Here is a 21,915-nt window from a genome sequence, read left to right on the forward strand (position 1 = left end):
AAGCCCTGGAACCACATATTCACTTAACACACTAGAGGTCTGTACCAAATGCACAGGCCTAAGCAATGGTAAGGGAATGTGTCAGCATTCAGTGTGGCCCTTCCTTGCAGGACCTGGTTTGAGAACTGCCTGTAGACAGCTGGGCCAGGATAAGGTTACTGCAGAATATAAACCCTGATTTGCCACCTGGATGACCTGCTTGAGGGTCATTTTGTCTTCTGCTTTAACCAGGGAGAGTGTCTGTCAAGTGAAATTACATTTTTCATATGGTCGTTTTGAAATTACTCTTTCAAATAGTAATTAACCAGTGGAATTCACTGTGGTTTTGTTTGTTTGTTTGTTTGTTTGTTTGTTTATTTATTTATTGAGATGGAGTCTTGCTCTGTGGTCCAGGCTGGAGTGCAGTGGCATGATCTCGGCTCACTGCAACCTCTGCCTCCTGGGTTCAAGCCGTTCTCCTGCTTCAGCCTCCCAAGTAACTGGGACTACAGGCACATGCCACCAAACCTGGCTAATTTTTTGTATTTTTAGTAGAGATGGGGTTTCACCATTTTAGCCAGGATGGTCTTGATCTCCTGACCTTGTGATCCGCCAACCTTGGCCTCCCAAAGTGCTGGGATTATAGGCGTGAGCCACCACGCCCAGCCAATTCACTGTGTTTTAGACTGCTCATTATTAATGATGAAAGCCTGTGGTTAGTAAAGGTGTTTTTCTTCCCTTTTACCATGACATGTCAGTTACATTTAAACTTAGAGGAAGACTAGAGAGCAGCCCTTTTTATTTTAATTGGAAGTTGAATTTAAGATTTATGGAAAGGCCATTTCTCAGGATTTCTCAAGATGAGTTACCCAAGTTTATTTCTGATTTTGCATTATGTTTGAGATTTTACATAATAAAAGATTTTTTAAAAATAACATTGACATTTTAAAAAATTATTTATATCCTGAATCAAACCTTCATGGGTCACGGATTCAGACTTTGAAAAAGCTTCTAAGGTAGAGAGACAATTACTCAGGTATCTGAAGTTGTGAAATCGCAGGCTGATGAAGGATGGGTGACTGCTACCAAATGTCTTAAGTGTTTCTTAAATTTATCTTCATAAGATAATTGTGCATGAGGAAGAAGTGCAACAGTACACCCAGAATCCACTTGTTTCTTGTGCATGTGTGGCAGATGCTATCTGTCAGTGCCCCATGGCATATCCCCCCAGCACCCACTACTGCGGACAGGGCATGCCACTGGCCTCCAGTGTCCAAAGCCGGGACTCTCCGCCTGATCTCCTCTGGTCTCTGGAGCCAGTTCTGCCTGTGGCTCCAGGAACTTGCAGGTTTCAGGTACTTTATTAGCTTCCTTCTCTTCCGTGTCTCATTTCCCAGTTCCCTGCCAGTGTTTCCTGGGACCACCCCTCAAATAAACTTCTTATATTTGAATCCTTGTTTTGGATCTGCTTCCTCAAGATTTCAAGTGAAGACAGCAAGACACCAAGTTGAGAGACCTAGCCTGCAACATGTTGAGGAAAAATTTCATAAAGGATTTTGAAAGGATGTCCTGTAAATTAAGGCAGTGTTTAGGGTAATACAGGCTTTTTCTCCCTCTCCTCACCCCCACACACATTTGGGAACTCATGGAGTAGATGACACTTGAATCTAGCCTGTGGAGCCGATGTAAGTAAATAGTTTGGCAAGGATCAGTCCTCATGACTCCAATATTTAGATAAAAAGCTAAAGAATTATTGAGATAAGAATTTTTAACCCACTTCCCATTTGCCCTGAGAATACTGCACTGGTAGCGAGCTGTATTTTTTTCTTTTCTAAATAGGAAATGGATTAAATGGGATTTTTAAAAAAAAAACTTAGATAGCTGATCAAATGAATTGCAGTTGATAGAATTACACAATCCCAGCTAGAAATTTGCCAACTGAATAAATGTTCACAGTGAGAAGTGAGGGACAGTTCGATTTGGAAATATAGATAGTAACCTGTTGTAAGAGAGAAGTAAATGCAACAGGCTAGGTTCTATGTGATGAGATTACATATATAAATTAAAAATACAGACTTTCTTAAGTCTATATTTTCAGTAGAGTGGAATATTTTTAGTCAGTATCATTCATAAGTTTGCAAAAATGCTGAACCTGATGTATAAGCCCTTTTATTTTTAACTGCCATCTAGCTTTGTTAAATGAAAACTTTTATTCGTACTTACTCAATTTTAATTCCTTTGAGGCATCTGGGTTGTTAGGGGGAGGTAGAGCCTAGGATGACCCCCAGATTTCTCTTTGAACTGCCTGGGTTGATCGTGGCACCAGTAAACAGGGTAGGGAATAAGTGATAAAGACTGGGTTTGGGTTGGAAGAGGTAAGGAGTTTTGTAATTTAGGGCATCTGTGGCCTGGGAAGGGAGTGGTGTTTGTGAAATGTTGGATACAAGGTTTTATGCATGGCTTACAACCTGCCCTCTGTTCCCTGCTTTATTTTCCAGCCTTTCCCACTGCAGCATATGCTTCAGCCGCATCTGACCGCTCTCTCTCAGTTCTCACTGGTCATTCCCTCTGGCTGGAACACCTTTGTGCCCCTCCCCTTCTGTCACCCAGGCAACTCCTATTTGAACATCTTTGGTGACAGAGCACTCACTATCAGCAAATGGTGTGGCATTAGTGATTTAGAAAGTGGGCTCTGGAGCCAGCCTGAGTTTTAACCCCAGCTCCATCCTGTACCTGGTGTGACCTTGCCATTAACTCAGTTTCCTAGGACAATGGAGATACTAGAACATCCCATAGAGCTGTTAAGATTAAATGAGTTATACGTTTAAAGCACTTTAAACAGACTGTGACACATAAAGTATTCTCTAAATCTTTGCTATTATTGTTAACTACTATCTTATATGACAGTTCATATCATGTTCTATTTAAACAAAAATTTAAAGGATTTATTGTAATGGAACTTTTACCAAATAGTGCCAATTTGAAACAATGATTGTTCTAATCTTTTCTAAATCTTATCATAAAAACAGCTGTTTCAAATAATTTTTATCAGGCTTTCCCCCTACTTTTTAACCTTTAAATCACTTTTGTGGCATGCCATAATCTGTAGCCTACTCATTGTTTATGCCCGTATTGGATTTATTTTTTGCTTAAGCATGATATTTGAGGATATAGATTATTTCCAATTTTTTATTATTTTGGTGGACATGCTTGACAAGCTTCTTCCTATGAGTTAATTGCTTGGGATTTTCCTAAAAAGTGAAATTTATTTTATTTTTGTACTTTTCACTATAAATTTCTCCAAGTGTTCTTTAAAATGTTTCTATAATCTATTATAACCTTATGTATCTGTTAACCATTATAAGCACTAACATAAGAAATTTAAGAATGTATGCATAATTATTTAAATGTCTTTTTAAAGTTTTGAATATAAGTTACGATATACCAAAAAACTTAATAAGGTGAAAACAATATTGCAAGGGGGCATGAGGATTAATTTTTTCTAATAGATGTAAATTACTATAATTTTAAAAATTGACTTGGAAATATGTTAAGTCATAGACCTAGTTAATCCTAAAATAGAGCAACCTGTTCGTTTTTTCATGTAGTACATACAATTTAGTTCCTGAGAAAAATAATCTATTAATAATAAAGTCATGAAATAAACAAAATTGGTGATATCTTTTCAATGGAATACCATTCCCCTTTCATATTTTAGCATATTTAAAGAGCATTTTATAGCACAATTATAACTATTATAGATGTCAATATAAGAAATTTAATGACTTATTTATAATGATCCAAATGTCCTTTTTAAAAATCTTTGAATTAGAGCACAGAAAATTCTATACTATCCATTGCACTGGTTACTTGAGAAGCTGGCCTCCAAATATTGTTGGAATGGAAGAAGAAAGGAACAGTAAGAAAGACAACAGTAATTTTACCTGCCTTGTGGCCATTGGAAGATTACAGCCATATATTGTTCCACAGAACAGTGGAGAGATTAATGTGAAACCAACTGAATTTATAACCCGGTTTGCAGTGAATGGAAAATTTGTCTATGTAGATCAAAGGTAAACATTTACATGTTATAATGATTAGAATTCAATGGGATATTTGAAGCTATTAAAGGCGTGTCTTAGTAGCACTGCTAGTTTTTCTTTTTCTTTTTTCTGTTTCAGAACAGAAAATAAAGTTTAAATGAAATAAGAATATGGACATGTCAGTAAATTTGCTTAAGCCAACATGTAAACTTGGAAGAGTGTCTCTTAGCCAGTGGTGCAGAAACTGGGCATGATCTGTGGCCACGATTTTACTGGCAAAAGCTAGTAGGAGCACAGCCTGGATCGGGTGGAGGCTTCATGCCTGGGTGCCTGTTCTGTGTTGCAGCTCTAGTCTGGGTCTAGGGCAGCCGAGGGGAGCCCAGTGATATGCATGGGTCACTCATCCCCTACCCTGTGCACTTCTTTACGATCCTGACCATATGTGGGCCTACAGTCTTCTGGGAGGGAGTACACTCACCACTTCTGAAGTTTATTTTCAATTTTGAAACCAGGGCAACAGCGATTTTAGGATATCTGCCTCAGGAACTTTTGGGAACTTCTTGTTATGAATATTTTCATCAAGATGACCACAATAATTTGACTGACAAGCACAAAGCAGGTAGGTATGCATTGAGCAGAATACATTTTGGGGAATTTAAAATGACAGTTTTAACTCTTAATTTCCCATTCCTGTGAAATTTGAAGTTTGAATTAATCTTCACAACATTGATTTTTATAGTCATTGACTATTATGCTGATAATTATCTTTTCTCGTTAAGTTCTACAGAGTAAGGAGAAAATACTTACAGATTCCTACAAATTCAGAGCAAAAGATGGCTCTTTTGTAACTTTAAAAAGCCAATGGTTTAGTTTCACAAATCCTTGGACAAAAGAACTGGAATATATTGTATCTGTCAACACTTTAGTTTTGTAAGTAATTTTTTATGTTAAGACCTTTATATTGATTTCAAATGAGTCTCTTTGCTTTTCTCCTCTCATCTTGCTAAACCATTAAAACTGTGTGATCCTCTGGCCTTTTATTGTAACTTGAGATTTATCTTTTGAGTAATTCATTTACTGTTCATTGACATTAGTTCTCAGAATTAAGCTAAAAGTTTTCATTTCTGTAATACATTCCTTCTTACTTGATATAATATGTGAGGGTAAAGGCATTTATTCAAGCATTTTCTTCCTACCCTCCATGGCCATTCAGTAAACAATGCAGACGTGGATTTCTACTGTGCATTATTGTAAGAAATTGTTTTGTCCTCCCTGTCATTTTTACCTGCACATCTTATAAGCCTGGGGTGCCGCCATGTCTGTGTAGGCATGCTCAGCACGGGGGAGAACAGAAATCCAGCCCAGGTGTTGCTTTAGCAAGCTCTGGTCTGTAGCTGTGTCAGCCTGAAGGAAGAGTCAAGTTTTCCTGATTTTATAGGAGGCTAGGATGGCCCCGTTGTAAGTCTTACTTTTTTTCTGTAAGTTTCTCTTTGAAATTGCTGTAAGGTTTCCTTGAACCAGTTATTTCCTTGTCTACAATACTGAGAGAAAAATAATAAAAAAAAAAAAAGTTTAATACTTCCAGTATTTCCTGTCACCCATCCCAGTAGTCTTTGCCTACTTATTATTAGTACAGGAACTGAGAGTTTGTTATTGTGAGAACACATACTTTATAGAGGAATGGGGCATTTGGCAAACACCATGATACTTAGCACATTAAGACCTTGATTTCTGGTGGTGATACTAACAATATGTGTATATAAAACATAAATGGGCCACAAATTGACAAATTAAATATACAGATCTTAGTGTAGTTGCTATAACAGTTTCCTTCACCTTAGAAAGTAAATCACCTATGGTGTTTTTAATTCTAGGGGACATAGTGAGCCTGGAGAAGCATCATTTTTACCTTGTAGCTCTCAATCATCAGAAGGTAAGCTTACTTTTAGATGATGGAAGACTTATTACTAAGACATATTATTAAGACTATTACTATCTTTTTCTGTCCTGGAGAGGGGAAAATTTGAAGGTGAAATTAAAAGTAGTTCTGCAGGTTGGGTTATAGGAATCCCAACTTTGGTTTAGAAGAGACTAAATTCAACGGGAAATAGATATCCCATTTAAACTCCCAGAGGTATCACCATGTCCCCCTCAAAATTCCCACAGTGCTTTGCTCACTTTTCTGTTATAATCTTGCATTATACTGCAATTAGTTGTTCATTCAACTTGCTTTCCAGTAGACAGTTCTTTAAGGCAGGAATGATGTTTTATCCATTTTTCAGCCCTAGCAGCTAACATTGTTCCTTGTCAATTGTGACACTCTTGGACAAATTAACGAAAAGTATTGGGGGAGTTTTTGCTTATCTGTGTGAGTTTTTCACCACAGGAATATATTAATGTATTATTTGTAAAAATAAAAATCTTAGGAAACATTGAAGTAGTATTGCTGTGGAGATTAAAGTGGCAAGAGACTGGAGTCAAGGGTTACTAGTCACAATTGTGCCCTCAGTGACTCTACACATTTGATTCAAAGAGCATCATGAATTACATATGTAATGCAAGGATGAGTGTTTTCCAACTTTTTTGGATGCAGCTAGTCTGTTTCTTTTAAGGAGAGAACTGTGAAATTATTTGAATTGAAAGAAAGATAAAGTCCTCAACTGAATTTCTCCTTTTGCTGTTACTTAGAATCCTCTAGACAGTCCTGTATGAGTGTACCTGGAATGTCTACTGGAACAGTACTTGGTGCTGGTAGTATTGGAACAGATATTGCAAATGAAATTCTGGATTTACAGAGGTAATGTTTTATTGCTGCAAATATTTTCAAAAGTAAAAATATCATATTTATAAAATCAATATACAAAAATCAGTAGCCTTCCTATATACAAATGATAACCAGTTTAATATAATGGAAAATATTATCTTTACAGTAGCAACAAAAAGATATAAATTTTATAAGAAATATTCATACCAACATGAAAAAAAACTTTAAAATTCACAAAGATATATAAAAAGATAACTCATATAACTTCAGATATAAGCTGTTTTTCAACAGGAAGGCAGAATTGTAAGAATTGTCCTGTTCCTTAAACTAGCCTGTGAATTTAATGTGGATCTAGTCAAAATACCACCGTGTGGCCAGGCATGGTGGGTCATGCCTGTAATCCTAGCACTTGGGGAGGCCGAGGCAGATGGATTGCTTGAGTCTAGAAATTTGAGACAAGCCTGGGCAACATGGCAAAACCTCATCTCTACAAAAAAAAAAAAATTAGCTGGATGTGGTGGTGCACGCCTATAGTCCCAGCTACTTGGGAGGCTAAGGTGGGAGGATCACTAGAGTGGGGTGGAGGGAGAGGGGCTGGTGGGGCAGTGTCAAGGCTGTAGTCAGCTGTGATCCTGCCACTTACTCCAGTCTAGGCAAAAGAGCAAGACCCTGTCTCAAAAAAAAAAAAAAAAAAATACCACCATGCATTTTTTTTTTTTGGAATCCAACAGATTATACTAATCACATTAAAATATCTAGAAATTTATGAAAAATAATAGTAATAAAGTGAGACTAATGCTGTCAGATATTAAAATACGTTATAAAGCTACAACCACTAAAACATTTTAGTGCAACCCACAAATAGATCAATGTAAAAGATTATATTTCAGAAATACAATCAAATGCACATGCAAATTTATTATATGGTAAAAATTAAAAATGACACCTTAAATCAGTAGGTAGAAATGAATTAAACATTAAAGGGCATTATGATAACTGTATAACCATTTGGGGAAAAAATAAAGCTAGACTCCAACTTTATTCTTTACACTAAAATAAATTACAGATAAATCAGAGTTCAAAGTAGAACTATAAAACTAAAGCTTTTCGGGTGGAGCCAAGATGGCCGAATAGGAACAGCTCCAGTCTACAGCTCCCAGCATGAGCGACACAGAAGACGGGTGCTTTCTGCATTTCCAGCTGAGGTACTGGGTTCATCTCACTGGGGATTGTTGGACAGTGGGTGCAGGACAGTGGGTGCAGCGCACCAAGCGTGAGCCGAAGCAGGGTGAGGCATCGCCTCACCCGGAAAGCGCAAGGGGTCAGGGAATTCCCTTTCCTAGTCAAAGGGGTGACAGATGGGCACCTGGAAAATCGGGTCACTCCCACCCTAACACTGCACTTTTCCAATGGTCTTAGCAAGCAGCACACCAGGAGATTATATCCCATGCCTGGCTCGGAGGGTCCTACACCCACGGAGCCTCGCTCATTGCTAGCACAGCAGTCTGAGATCAAACTGCAAGGCGGCAGCGAGGCTGGGGGAGGGGTGCCCACCATTGCCGAGGCTTGAGTAGGTAAACAAAGCAGCCGGGAAGCTCGAACTGGTTGGAGCCCACCGCAGCTCAAGGAAGCCTGCCTGCCTCTGTAGACTCCATCTCTGGGGGCAGGGCATAGCCAAACAAAAGGCAGCAGAAAACTCTGCAGACTTAAATGTCCCTGTCTGACAGCTTGGAAGACAGTAGTGGTTCTCCCAGCACACAGCTGGAGATCTGAGAATGGACAGACTGCCTCCTCAAGTGGGTCCCTGACCCCTGAGTAGCCTAACTGGGAGGCACCCCCCAGTAGGGGAAGACTGACACCTCACACGGCCAGGTACTCCTCTGAGACAAAACTTCCAGAGGAACGATCAGGCAGCAACAATTGCTGTTCACCAATATCCGCTGTTCTGCAGCCTCCGCTGCTGATACCCAGGCAAACAAGGTCTGGAGTGGACCTTCAGCAAACTCCAACACACCTGCAGCTGAGGGTCCTGACTGTTAGAGGGAAAACTAACAAACAGAAAGGACATCCACACCAAAACTCCATCTGTACGTCACCATCATCAAAGACCAAAGGTAGATAAAACCACAAAGATGGGGAAAAAACAGAGCAGAAAAACTGGAAACTCTAAAAATCAGAGCGCCTTTCCTCCTTCAAAGGAACGCAGCTCCTTACCAGCAATGGAACAAAGCTGGACAGAGAATGAGTTTGATGAGAGAAGAAGGCTTCAGATGATCAAACTACTCCGAGCTAAAGGAGGAAGTTTGAACCCATGGCAAAGAAGTTAAAAACCTTGAAAAAAAAATTAGATGAATGGCTAACAAGAATAACCAATGCAGAGAAGTCCTTAAAGGACCTGATGGAGCTGAAAACAACGGCATGAGAACTACATGACGAATGCAAAGCCTCAGTAGCCAATTCGATCAACTGGAAGAAAGGGTATCAGTGATGCAAGATCAAATGAATGAAATGAAGTGAGAAGAGACGTTTAGAGAAAAGAGAATAAAAAGAAACAAACAAAGCCTCCAAGAAATATGGGACTATGTGAAAAGACCAAATCTACGTCTGATTGGTGTACCTGAAAGTGACGGGGAGGATGGAACCAAGTTGGAAAACACTCTGCAGGATATTATCCAGGAGAACTTCCCCAATCTAGCAAGGCAGGCCAACATTCAGATTCAGGAAATACAGAGAACGCCACAAAGATACTCCTCGAGAAGAGCAACTCTAAGACACATAATTGTCAGATTCACCAAAGTTGAAATGAAGGAAAAAATGTTAAGGGCAGCCAGAGAGAAAGGTCAGGTTACCCACAAAGGGAAGCCCATCAGACTAACAGCTGATCTCTCAGCAGAAACTCTACAGGCCAGAAGAGAGTGGGGGCCAATATTCAACATTGTTAAAGAAAAGAATTTTCAACCCAGAAGTTCATATCCAGCCAAACTTAAGCTTCATAAGTGAAAGAGGAATAAAATACTTTACAGACAAGCAAATGCTGAGAAATTTTGTCACCACCAGGACTGCCTTACAAGAGCTCCTGAAGGAAGCACTAAACATGGAAAGGAACAACCAGTACCAGCCACTGCAAAAACATGCCAAATTGTAAACCATTGAGGCTAGGAAGAAACTGCATCAGCTAACGAGCAAAATAACCAGCTAATATCATAATGACAGGATCAAATTCCCACATAACAATATTAACCTTAAATGTAAATGGGCTAAATGCTCCAATTAAAAGACACAGACTGGCAAATTGTATAAAGAGTCAAGACCCATCAGTGTGCTGTATTCAGGAGACCCATCTCATGTGCAGAGACAAACATAGGCTCACAATAAAGGGATGGAGGAAGATCTACCAAGCAAATGGAAAACAAAAAAAGGCAGGGGTTGCAATCCTAATCTCTGATAAAACAGACTTTAAACCAATAAAGATCAAAAGAGACAAAGAAGGCCATTACATAATGGTAAAGGGATCAATTCAACAAGAAGAGCTAACTACCCTAAATATATATGCACCCAATACTGGAGCACCCAGATTCATAAAGCAAGTCCTTAGAGACCTACAAAGAGACTTAGACCCTCACACAATAATAATGGGAGACTTTAACACCCCACTGTCAACATTAGACAGATCAACGAGACAGAAAGTTAACAAGGATATCCAGGAACTGAACTCAGCTCTGCACCAAGCAGACCTAATAGACATCTACAGAACTCTCTGCCCCGAATCAACAGAATATACATTCTTTTCAGCACTACACCACACCTAATCCAAAATTGACCACATAGTTGGAAGTAAAGCACTCCTCAGCAAATGTAAAAGAACAGAAATTATAACAAACTATCTCTCAGACCATATTGCAATCAAACTAGAACTCAGGATTAAGAAGCTCACTCAAAACCACTCAACTACATGGAAACTGAACAACCTGCTCCTGAATGACTACTGGGTACATAATGAAATGAAGGCAGAAATAAAGATGTTCTTTGAAACCAACGAGAACAAAGACACAACATACCAGAATCTCTGGGATGCATTCAAAGCAGTGTGTAGAGGGAAATTTATAGCACTAAATGCCCACAAGAGAAAGCAGGAAAGATCTAAAATTGACACCCTAAAATCACAATTAAAAGAACTAGAGAAGCAAGAGCAAACACATTCAAAAGCTAGCAGAAGACAAGAAATAACTAAGATCAGAGCAGAACTGAAGGAGATAGAGACACAAGAAACCCTTCAAAAAATCAATGAATCCAGGAGCTGGTTTTTTGAAAAGATCAAAAAAATTGATCGACCGCTAGCAAGACTAATAAAGAAGAAAAGAGAGAAGAATCAAATAGATGCAATAAAAAATGATAAAAGGGATATCACCACCGACCCCACAGAAATACAAACTACCATCAGAGAATACTATAAACACCTCTACGCAAATAAACTAGAAAATCTAGAAGAAATGGATAAATTCCTGACACATACAGCCTCCCAAGACTAAACCAGGAAGAAGCTGAATCCCTGAATAGACCAATAACAGGCTCTGAAATTGAGGCAATAATTAATAGCTTACCAACCAAAAAAAGTCCAGGACCAGATGGATTCACAGCCGAATTCTACCAGAGGTACAAGGAGGAGCTGGTACCATTCCTTCTGAAACTATTCCAATCAATAGAAAAAGAGGGAATCCTCCCTAACTAATTTTATGAGGCCAGCATCATCCTGATACCATAGCCTGGCAGAGACACAACAAAAAAAGAGAATTTTAGACCAATATCCCTGATGAACATGGATACAAAAATCCTCAATAAAATACTGGCAAACCAAATCCAGCAGCACATCAAAAAGCTTATCTACCATGATCAAGTGGGCTTCATCCCTGGGATGCAAGGCTGGTTCAACATACGCAAATCAATAAATGTAATCCAGCATATAAACAGAACCAATGACAAAAACCACATGATTAACTCAATAGATGCAGAAAAGACCTTTGACAAAATTCAACAACGCTTCATGCTAAAAACTCTCAATAAATTGGATATTGATGGGACATATCTCAAAATAATAAGAGCTATCTATGACAAACCCATAGCCAATATCATACTGAATGGGCAAAAACTGGAAGCATTCCCTTTGAAAACTGGCACAAGACAGGGATGCCGTCTCTCACCACTCCTATACAACATAGTGTTGAAAGTTCTGGCCAGGGCAATAAGGAAGGAGAAGGAAATAAAAGGTATTCAATTAGGAGAAGAGGAAGTCAAATTGTCCCTGTTTGCAGATGACATGATTGTATATCTAGAAAACCCCATTGTCTCAGCCCAAAATCGCCTTAAGCTGATAAGCAACTTCAGCAAAGTCTCAGGATACAAAATCAATGTGCAAAAATCACAAGCATTCTTATACAACAATAACAGACAAACAGAGAGCCAAATCATGAGTGAACTCCCATTTACAATTGCTTCAAAGAGAATAAAATACCTAGGAATCCAACTTACAAGGGATGTGAAGGACCTCTTCAAGGAGAACTAGAAACCACTGCTCAATGAAATAAAAGAGGATACAAACAAATGGAAGAACATTCCATGCTCATGGGTAGGAAGAATCAATATCATGAAAATGGCCATACTGCCCAAGGTAATTTATAGATTCAATGCCATCCCCATCAAGCTACCAATGACTTTCTTCACAGAATTGGAAAAAACTACTTTAAAGTTCGTATGGAACCAAAAAAGAGCCCACATTGCCAAGTCAATCCTAAGCCAAAAGAACAAAGCTGGAGGCATCATGCTACCTGACTTCAAACTGTACTACAAAGCTACAGTAACCAAAACAGCATGGTACTGGTACCAAAACAGAGATATAGACCAATGGAACAGAACAGAGCCCTCAGAAATAATGCCACATATCTACAACCATCTGATCTTTGACAAACCTGACAAAAAGAAGAAATGGGGAAAGGATTCCCTATTCAATAAATGGTGCTGGGAAAACTGGCTAGCCATATGTAGAAAGCTGAAACTGGATCCCTTCCTTACACCTTATACAAAAATTAATTCAAGATGGATTAAAGACTTACATGTTAGACCTAAAACCATGAAAACCCTAGAAGAAAACCTAGGCATACCATTCAGGACATAGGCATGGGCAAGGACTTCATGTCTAAAACACCAAAAGCAATGGCAACAAAAGCCAAAATTGACAAATGGGATCTAATTAAACTAAAGAGCTTCTGCACAGCAAAAGAAACTACCATCAGAGTGAACAGGCAACCTACAGAATGGGAGAAAATTTTTGCAATCTACTCATCGGACAAAGGGCTAATATCCAGAATCTACAATGAACTCCAACAAATTTACAAGAAAAAAACAAACAACCCCATTAAAAAGTGGGCAAAGGATATGAACAGATACTTCTCAAAAGAAGACATTTATGCAGCCAAAAGACACATGAAAAAATGCTCATCATCACTGGCCATCAGACAAATGCAAATCAAAACCACAATGAGATACCATCTCACACCAGTTAGAATGGCGATCATTAAAAAGTCAGGAAACAACAGGTGCTGGAGAGGATGTTGAGAAATAGGAACACTTTTACACTGTTGGTGGGACTGTAAACTAGTTCAACCATTGTGGAAGTCAGTGTGGCGATTCCTCAGGGATCTAAAACTAGAAATACCATTTGACCCAGCAATCCCATTACTGGGTATATACCCGAAGGATTATAAATTATGCTGCTTTAAAGACACATACACACGTATGTTTATTGCAGCACTATTCACAATAGCAGAGACTGGGAACCAAGCCAAATGTCCAACAATGATAGACTGGATTAAGAAAATGTGGCACATATACACCATGGAATACTGTGCAGCCATAAAAAATGATGAGTTCATGTCCTTTGTAGGGACATGGATGAAGCTGGAAACCATCATTCTCAGCAAACTATGGCAAGGACAAAAAACCAAACACCGCATGTTCTCACTCATAGGTGGGAATTGAACAATGAGAACACATGGACACAGGAAGGGGAACATCACACACCAGGGCCTGTTGTGGGGTAGGGGAAGAGGGGAGGGACAGCATTAGGAGATATACCTAATGTTAAATGAAGAGTTAATGGGTGCAGCACACCAACATGTCACATGTATACATATGTAAGAAACCTGCATGTTGTGTACATGTACCCTAAAACTAAAAGTGTAATAAAAAAAATAATAATTTTTAAAAATAAAATAAAACTAAAGCTTTTCCAGAACACATGTATGAATTTTTATATTCTCAACTTGAAAAGTCCTTTCTAAACATCAAAAAATCCAGAATTTGTAAATAAAAATATTTGGTAAATTTAATTGTATAAAAATTAAAACCTTACACATAACTATATCATTATAGCAATGTTAAAAGAGAAATTATAAACTGTGGAAAATGTGTGGATTTCATACGGTAAAATAGACAAACTATCTTAATGTATAAAGAGTTTTCTTGTATAAAGAGTAAAATTATTAAGCTTTATATTAAACTTTATGTATTTAATTTTATATATCTCTATATCTTAAACATTGTAGTATACAGAATAGTTATTGTGTTTTTTTAAATTTTCTTTTGAGGCAGGGTCTTGCTCTATCCCCCAGCCTGGAGTGCAGCGGTGCGATCATGGCTCACTGCAGCCTGGACAACCCATGCTCAAGCGATCCTCCTGCCTCAGCCTCCCAGGCAGCTGGGACTACAGGGGCACACCACCACACCTGGCTACCTGGCTTAGTACATTTAAAAAAAATAATAACACAATAAACGGCCAGGTGCAGTAGCTCATGCTTGTAATCCCCAGCACTTTGGGAGGCCAAGGTAGAGGATCACTTGAGGCTAGGAGTTCAAGACCATCCTGGGCAACATATCGAGACCCCATCTCAAAAAAAAAAAAGAGAGATTAGCCACGCATAGTGGGGCACAGCGGTAGTCCCAGCTACTTGGGAGGCTGAGGTGGGAGGATCACTTGAGCCCAGGAATTCAAGTCTGCAGTGAGCTAGTCATTATCATTTTCCTACTGATTAGTGATATCGACTGCCTTTTCATGTGCTTATTGGCCATTTGTATATTTTCTTTGGAGAAGTGTGCATTCAAGTCCTTTGCCCACTATTTAATCAAGTTGTTTGTTTTGTTGCTGTTGTTGAGTTGGGAGTTCTTCACATATTCTGGATATTAACCACTTAGCAGATATGTGATTGGCAAATATTTTCTCTCAGTCTTTGGGTTGCCTTTTTACTCTGTTTATCAGGTTTTTTGATGTACAAAAGTTTTTAATTTTTATATACTCCAATTTATTTATTTATTTTCATTTGTTGACTGTGTTTTTGGTGTCATACCAAGAAATGGTTGCCAAATCCAATGTCATGAGGCTGTTCCACTATTTCGTCCTAAGAGTTTTATAGTCTTAGGTCTTAAGGTCCTAAGTTTAGTCTTTGATCTACTTTAAGTTAGTTTGTGTATATGGGGTAAGGTAAGAGTCCAGCTTCATTCTTTTGCATGTGGATAACCAGTTTTCCCATAGTATTTGTTGCAAAGACCATCCTTTTCCCCACTGAGTGTTCTTGGCACCCTTAGTGAAAATTATTTGACCATATATACTGCAAGGGCATTTTAAGAGAAGTGGAAATGGAGCTAAACATTGACAACTGGGTACTATTAAATGTTCAGCATAAAGTACAGAGGGCATTTATATAAGGAGGCACCTTAGGTAATGTATGAAAGTAGGTAGAAGGAATCATAGTGGCTTCAGAAAACAGAGACTCAATTGAGAGAGGAATTGAGTTGGTGAGCAGTGGGGGTTCCTAACTAAGGTAAAGTCAAGTAGTAGAGGAACTTAAATAGTAGATTTTTGCCCAGGGAACTAATATGAAGGAAGCCAAGATACAGAAGATTAATCTGATTGTAAAGAGATGAGGGGAGAGGTAGTTTTCATCAGGCTAAGTGAGCAGTTAGTGATTTTAAAACATGAACAGGGGTGATATCAGATGCCAGCAAGATGGCACAATAGGATTTCCAGAGTGAAGAAAGCCCATAGGACTTATGGGACACTTTCAAGAAAACCAATGTACACATGTGTGTGTCCCAGAAGGATAGAGAAAGTCAGAGGCAAAGAGCTTATTAAAAACAAAACACACACACACACACACACAATGGAAAACCCCCAAATTCAGAGAAGGGAATGTTCATTGAGCCCAGGAGTTCCAGATTTATGAAGCCCAAAGAACCCCAAATAGATTAAATGTAAAGAGATCTTCACCAAGACACATTATAATCAAATTCTCAAAAGTCAAAGAAGGAGAGGATTTTGAAAGCATGAAGAGAAAAAGCAACTTGTCACATGTAAAAGAACCCACATAAGCGTTCAGCAGCTTCCTCAGCAGAAACCTTGCAGGCCGGGAGAGAATAGGATGATATATTCAAAGTGCTGCAAGGAAAAAAAAAAAAAGCCAAACAAGAATACTACATGTGGTAAGGCTGTCCTTCAGAAATGTAAGGTAGATAAGGACTTTTCCAGACAGACAAAAGCTGTGGGAGTTAATCACCATGAGATCTACCTTTCAAGAATGCTAAAGGGAATTCTTCACGTTAAACTGAAAGGGTGCCAATTAACAAATGGAAATATAAAACTTTCTGTAAAGATAAGAATATAGTCAAATTCAAAATACTCTAATACTGTAATGGTAGTACATAAATCACTTTGAATTCTAATAGAAAAGTTAAAAGACAAAAGTATTAAAAATAATTATAGCTACAATAATTTGTTAATGAATACATGATATGTAAAAGATATCAATTGTGACATCAGTAACATAAAATGTGGAGAGAAATAAAGTGTAGAGTTTTTATGTGCAGCTGAAGTTAAATTATCAGCTTAAAATGTCCTGTTATAATGACAAGGTATTTTATGTAGGCTTCCTAATAACTACAAATAAGTTCTTTTTCCAAGAAAAAGAAAAAGGAATCAAAGCATACCACTACAAAAAAATCATCAAATCACAAAGGAAGACAGTAAGAAAGGAAGAATGGAACAAAGGAACTACAAAACAGAGAACAATGAACAATATAGCCTAGTAGGTACTTTACTATCAGTAATTACATATAAATGGATTAAATTATTCAATCAAAGACAGAGTGGCTGAATGGATTTAAAAAATAAGATCCAACTGTGTGCTGCAACCAGTGACTCAATTTAGTTTTAAGGACACACATAGGCCAAAAGTGAAGGGATGGAAAAAGATATTCCATCCAAATGATAACCAAGAGAGAACAGGGGTGACCATACTTATGTTAGACAGAATAGATGTTAAGTCAAAAACTAAGCTGGGCATGGTGGCACACACCGGTAGTACCAGCCATTTGGAAGGATGACAGGAGGATCACTTGAGCCCAGGAGTTCAAGGCTGTAGTGCACTGTTACCATACCTGTGAATGACCACTGCACTCCAGCATGGGCAACAGCAAGACCCTGTCTTGAAAAACATGCAAAAAAAAAACTCCCCTGCAAAACTGTCATGAGACAAAGAAGATCATTATATAATGATGAAGGGGTCAATTCAAGAGGATATAACAATTGAAAATATATATGCACTCAACACTTGAACACCTAAATGTATAAAGCAAATATTAACCAAATTGAAGGGACAAATATACAGCAATACAATATTAGTAGGGGACCTCAAAACCTCAGTTTCAACAATGGATAGACCATTCAAACAACATCAATATGGAAACAGTGGACTTGACTAAAGACGTGAACACTCCATCTGATGGCAGCAGAATACACGTTCTTTTCAAGTGCACATGGAGCACTCTCCAGGATAGGTGATATATTAGGCCACAAAACAAGTCTTAAAAAATTTAAGAGCATGGAAGTCCTATCAGGTGTCTTTTCTGGCCACAATGGTAAGAAACTAGAAGTCAGTAACAAGAGGAAAATCGTAAGAGTCACAAATATGTGCAATTTAAACAACACATACCTGAACAACCAGTGGGTCAAAGAAGAAATCAAAGGGGAAATTTAAAAATCTTGAGAAAAATGAAAGTGGAAACACAACATATCAAAACGTATGGAATGCAGTAAAAAGCAGTTCTAAGAGGGACGTTTATAGCAATAAATACCTATGTTAAGAAAAAAACCCTAGCTTTACACCTCCAGAAACTAGAAACAGTACAAACTAAGTCCAAAGTCAACAGAAGGAAGGAAATTATCAGAGCAGAAACAGATTGAATCAAGATTAGAAAAACAATAGAAATGACTGATGAAACTGAGTTGGGTTTTTGAAAAATAAAATTGATAAACCATTAGCTAGACTAAGAAAAAAAAGAGAGAAGTCTCAAATTATAAATAGTGACAATATGAATGAACTCGCAGGACATTATGCTAAGTGAAATAAGCCAGATACAGAATGAAACATACTGCATCATCTCTCTTATGTGCAGAATCTTAGAAAAAAAAAGCTGACTAAATAAAAATAGAGTAGATAGGTGTTCACTAGAGGCAGGGAGGGCATGGAAATGGGGAGAAGTAAATCAAAAGGTACAAATTTGCCATTAGGTAGAATGAGTAAGTCTACAGATCGAATGTGCAGCATGAGAACTAACTATAGTTAATAATGTTATATACTGAAGATTTGCTAGGAGAGTAGGTTTTAGGTGCTGTCAACATACACATACACACAGGTAACTGTGGGAGGTGATGAATATGTAAATTTATTTAACTGCAGCAATCATTTTACTATGTATATGTACAGTATACCATCGTATTGTACACCTCAATGTCAACTGCCTTCTTGGGAACACATAAAGACATAAAGTTGTGTTTATGCCATTTTTTTCTCTATGTGTGTGTTTCATTGATTTTTACCTGAGGATGACCTATTATAGTAAAAATATGGCACATTTTCCACTTTAAAAAGATTCCAGAATGTTAGTAAATCTTTCCTTACTCTTGGTTCTGCCATTTGGTATCTTGAGGAGGAGCTGATTTTTGACATGAGCACCTGTTTTAAACTGTGCTGTGTTATTCTATTAACACATGCTATATTGACAGATGATACGATTTACTCAAGAGCTTTTACCTCAGAGCTTTGTTTTTCTATTTATCATGGAGTGTTTTTCAGCATTCCATAGTCAAAAATAAGCCTGGCACCTAGTAAGTCAGTCTAATTGTGAAACCTGCTATGATACTCAGTTTCAAGTTCCTCACTGTATTTTTATTAGTAGATTATTATGTATTTAGAGGAGAAAATTTCCTTCTAAAATATGTAAAATTAAAAATGTTTTATGTATCACTTTTTAAAGGTTACAGTCTTCTTCATACCTTGATGATTCGAGTCCAACAGGTTTAATGAAAGATACTCATACTGTAAACTGCAGGAGTGTAAGTATACTTGTAAATGATAATATTCATGAAATAAATGAACAATAAAATTTGCCCCTTGTTGATTATTTCTTTTAAGAAAAGAAGCCATTCTGTCAAAAAAAAAATGAACCCATTTTGATCACTCAGTGATTTTTAAGTGGCGTTGTGGAATAGTAGTTAAGAATGAAGTTGCTGGAAGCGTAGTATCTGAGTCCAAGTTATGACACTTACTGGGATGTAACCTCAGACTTTTACTTAAACTCTCTGTGCCTCAATTTTCTCATTCATAAAGTAAGAATAATAATGTCACTGATTTCGAGGATTGTGAGAATTAAGAGCTTAAATACATAAACAAAAACTCTTAGAACAGTGCCTAGCACACAGTAAGTGCTAAATAAATGGTAGCTCTTATTATTGATATTGTAATAGGTTCCAATTTAGTAGATTAAATCTACTCCTTGAGGTTTGGAAAAAAAAAGCTTAAATAATACAAGCCACAAGATAAATACCACATACTACTTAATTCAATTGAACAAATACTAGCTATTTGAAATGCATTATTGTATATACAAAAATTACTAAACCTAGTGCTATCTGGAAGACTAAAATACAGTATAATTGTAATTTAGCACAGACAACAAAAAGCTCTAAAGCAGGTCTGTAAATCAAGCAGTATAAGACTACAGGAGAAAGGAGAAATTTTATCTGACCAGGGACAGACAGAAACTTGAAAATACAAATATCAGAGCCAGGCATGGTGGCTTGTGCCTATAATCCCAGCTACTCAGGAGGCTGAGGTGGGAAGATCACTTGAGGCCAGGAGTCCAAGACCGGCCTGGGCAATATAGTGAGACCTCCTTTCTAAAAAAGATTTTTTAAAATACTAGCCAGGCATGGTGGCACATGCCTGTAATCCCCGCTACTGCAGGAGGCTGAGTCAGGAGGATCACTTGAGCCCAGAAGTTTCAGGCTGAAGTGAGCTATAATCACACCACTGCACTAGCCTGAGCGGCAGACTGCAACTGTCTAAAAGCAAAAAAAGAAAATATAAATGTCATGTCTTTTTATACAAATATCATGTCTTCTGCTTTATTATTTATTCATTTTTTTCATACAGTTAGCACGTGTTTATTAGGTATCCATTTTGCGTGAGGCAGGATGCGAGAAACAGATTTATGTGGTAGTAAAAATGTCTAAGTAGTGTACGTTATGTAAGCATTCTATAGATAAAGTATGTCAACTTGAGACAATATAGGCAAATGATTTCCTGTTTTATGAGCTACATGGATTATTAGATTGTTTGGCCTGTAACTATATAACAGTATAAGAACTTTTCAGTAACAGCATTTGGTTTAATGTTTCCCACTCCAAAGCAATATTTCCCATAGTAGTTTTATATGAGGTATAGTTTTGCCATCATTTTATAAAAACAGAAATAAACTTTGACCCCAAGCATTTGTGGACGTGAACTTTTTCTTCTTCATCCAAAACTTTTCCTTACATATGCACCTTCAGTTATGGCTCTTAAGAATGCAGGCTTTGGAGTCAGGTAGACTTGAGTTAGAATCATGGCTTCAACACCTTGGGCAAGATATCCCTTTAGGCCTCAGATTTATGATGTGTAATATAGCTGCCTCACGGTATCTGAGAAATGAGATGAGATGATGCAGGTGGAGAGCTTGGCACATGGTCCTCGGGAAAAGCAAGCTTCCATATTGATGGTGGCAGTTGTAGCATTGGTGGCAGGCCCATGTCTGATAACTGCTAAAAAGTATTTATCTTGGCCAGGCGCAGTGGCTCACACCTGTAATCCCAACACTTTGGGAGGCCGAGGCGGGCAGATCATGAGGTCAGGAGATCGAGACCATCCTGGCTAACACGGTGAAACCCCATCTCTACTAAAAATACAAAAAATTAGCCGGGCGTGGTGGCACACACCTGTAATCCCAGCTACTTGGGAGGCTGAGGCAAGAGAATTGCCTGAACCCAGGAGGTGGAGGTTGCAATGAACCGAGATCATGCCGCTGCACTCCAGCCTGGGCAACACAGCGAGCCTCCATCTCAAAAAAATAAAAAATAAAAAGTAAAAATAAATAAATAAAGAGTGTCCTTATTCTAGTAGGAACCTCACTGTTTGTTACTCTGGCTGTCTTTTCAGATGTCAAATAAGGAGTTGTTTCCACCAAGTCCTTCTGAAATGGGGGAGCTAGAGGCTACCAGGCAAAACCAGAGTACTGTTGCTGTCCACAGCCATGAGCCACTCCTCAGTAAGTTTTCTTTGGGAACTGCTGACCATTTTCGTTTATCAAAACCCCCCTCTTAATCACTATGTTTTCAGGCACAGGAAATTTGTAGAGAAGCAGATAGTTTTAAAACTAAGGTTTTTTTCAGTTGAGCACATTGGCTCACACCTGTAATCCCAGCACTTTGGGAGGCCAAGGCAGGAGGATTGCTTGAGGCTAGAAGTTCAAACCAGCCTGGCACACATAGCAATAACCCATCCCTACGAAAAAAAAATTGTTTTAATTAGCTAGGCATGATGGCTCATGTCTATAGTCTTAGCTACTTAGGAGGCTAAGGCAGGAGGATTGCTTGAGCCCAGGAGTTCAAGGCTGCAGTGAGCTGTAATTGTACCACTGCACTCCAGCCTGGGTGACAGAGTGAGACCTTGTCTGAAAAAAAAAAGTAAATAAATAAATAAATATTTT

At 38.1% G+C, this 21,915-nt stretch overlaps 1 protein-coding gene and 1 long non-coding RNA gene across 21 annotated transcripts in view; one reads left to right on the top strand and one right to left on the bottom strand.

Annotated features, from left to right (window-relative positions):
• BMAL2 (basic helix-loop-helix ARNT like 2) overlaps positions 1–21,915 on the top strand; it is a 92,451-nt gene that overhangs the window by 63,887 nt on the left and 6,649 nt on the right. For 18 of the 20 annotated variants that reach the window (NM_001394524.1, XM_011520768.3, NM_001394525.1 and 15 more), the window contains 7 exons: positions 3,812–4,052; positions 4,535–4,641; positions 4,802–4,952; positions 5,897–5,955; positions 6,711–6,819; positions 19,147–19,225; positions 21,366–21,474. In NM_001394524.1, the coding sequence (NP_001381453.1) occupies positions 3,812–4,052; positions 4,535–4,641; positions 4,802–4,952; positions 5,897–5,955; positions 6,711–6,819; positions 19,147–19,225; positions 21,366–21,474 (855 nt within the window). The remainder of the gene's footprint in view (positions 1–3,811; positions 4,053–4,534; positions 4,642–4,801; positions 4,953–5,896; positions 5,956–6,710; positions 6,820–19,146; positions 19,226–21,365; positions 21,475–21,915) is intronic. The other 2 variants (NM_001394527.1, NM_001248005.3) reach the window with 2 other exon arrangements.
• Positions 1–21,915, bottom strand: part of BMAL2-AS1 (BMAL2 antisense RNA 1) — a 56,846-nt gene that overhangs the window by 6,934 nt on the left and 27,997 nt on the right. The window lies entirely within an intron of this gene.

This window comes from Homo sapiens, chromosome 12 (assembly GCF_000001405.40).
Source record: "Homo sapiens chromosome 12, GRCh38.p14 Primary Assembly".
Lineage (NCBI taxonomy): Eukaryota > Metazoa > Chordata > Mammalia > Primates > Hominidae > Homo > Homo sapiens.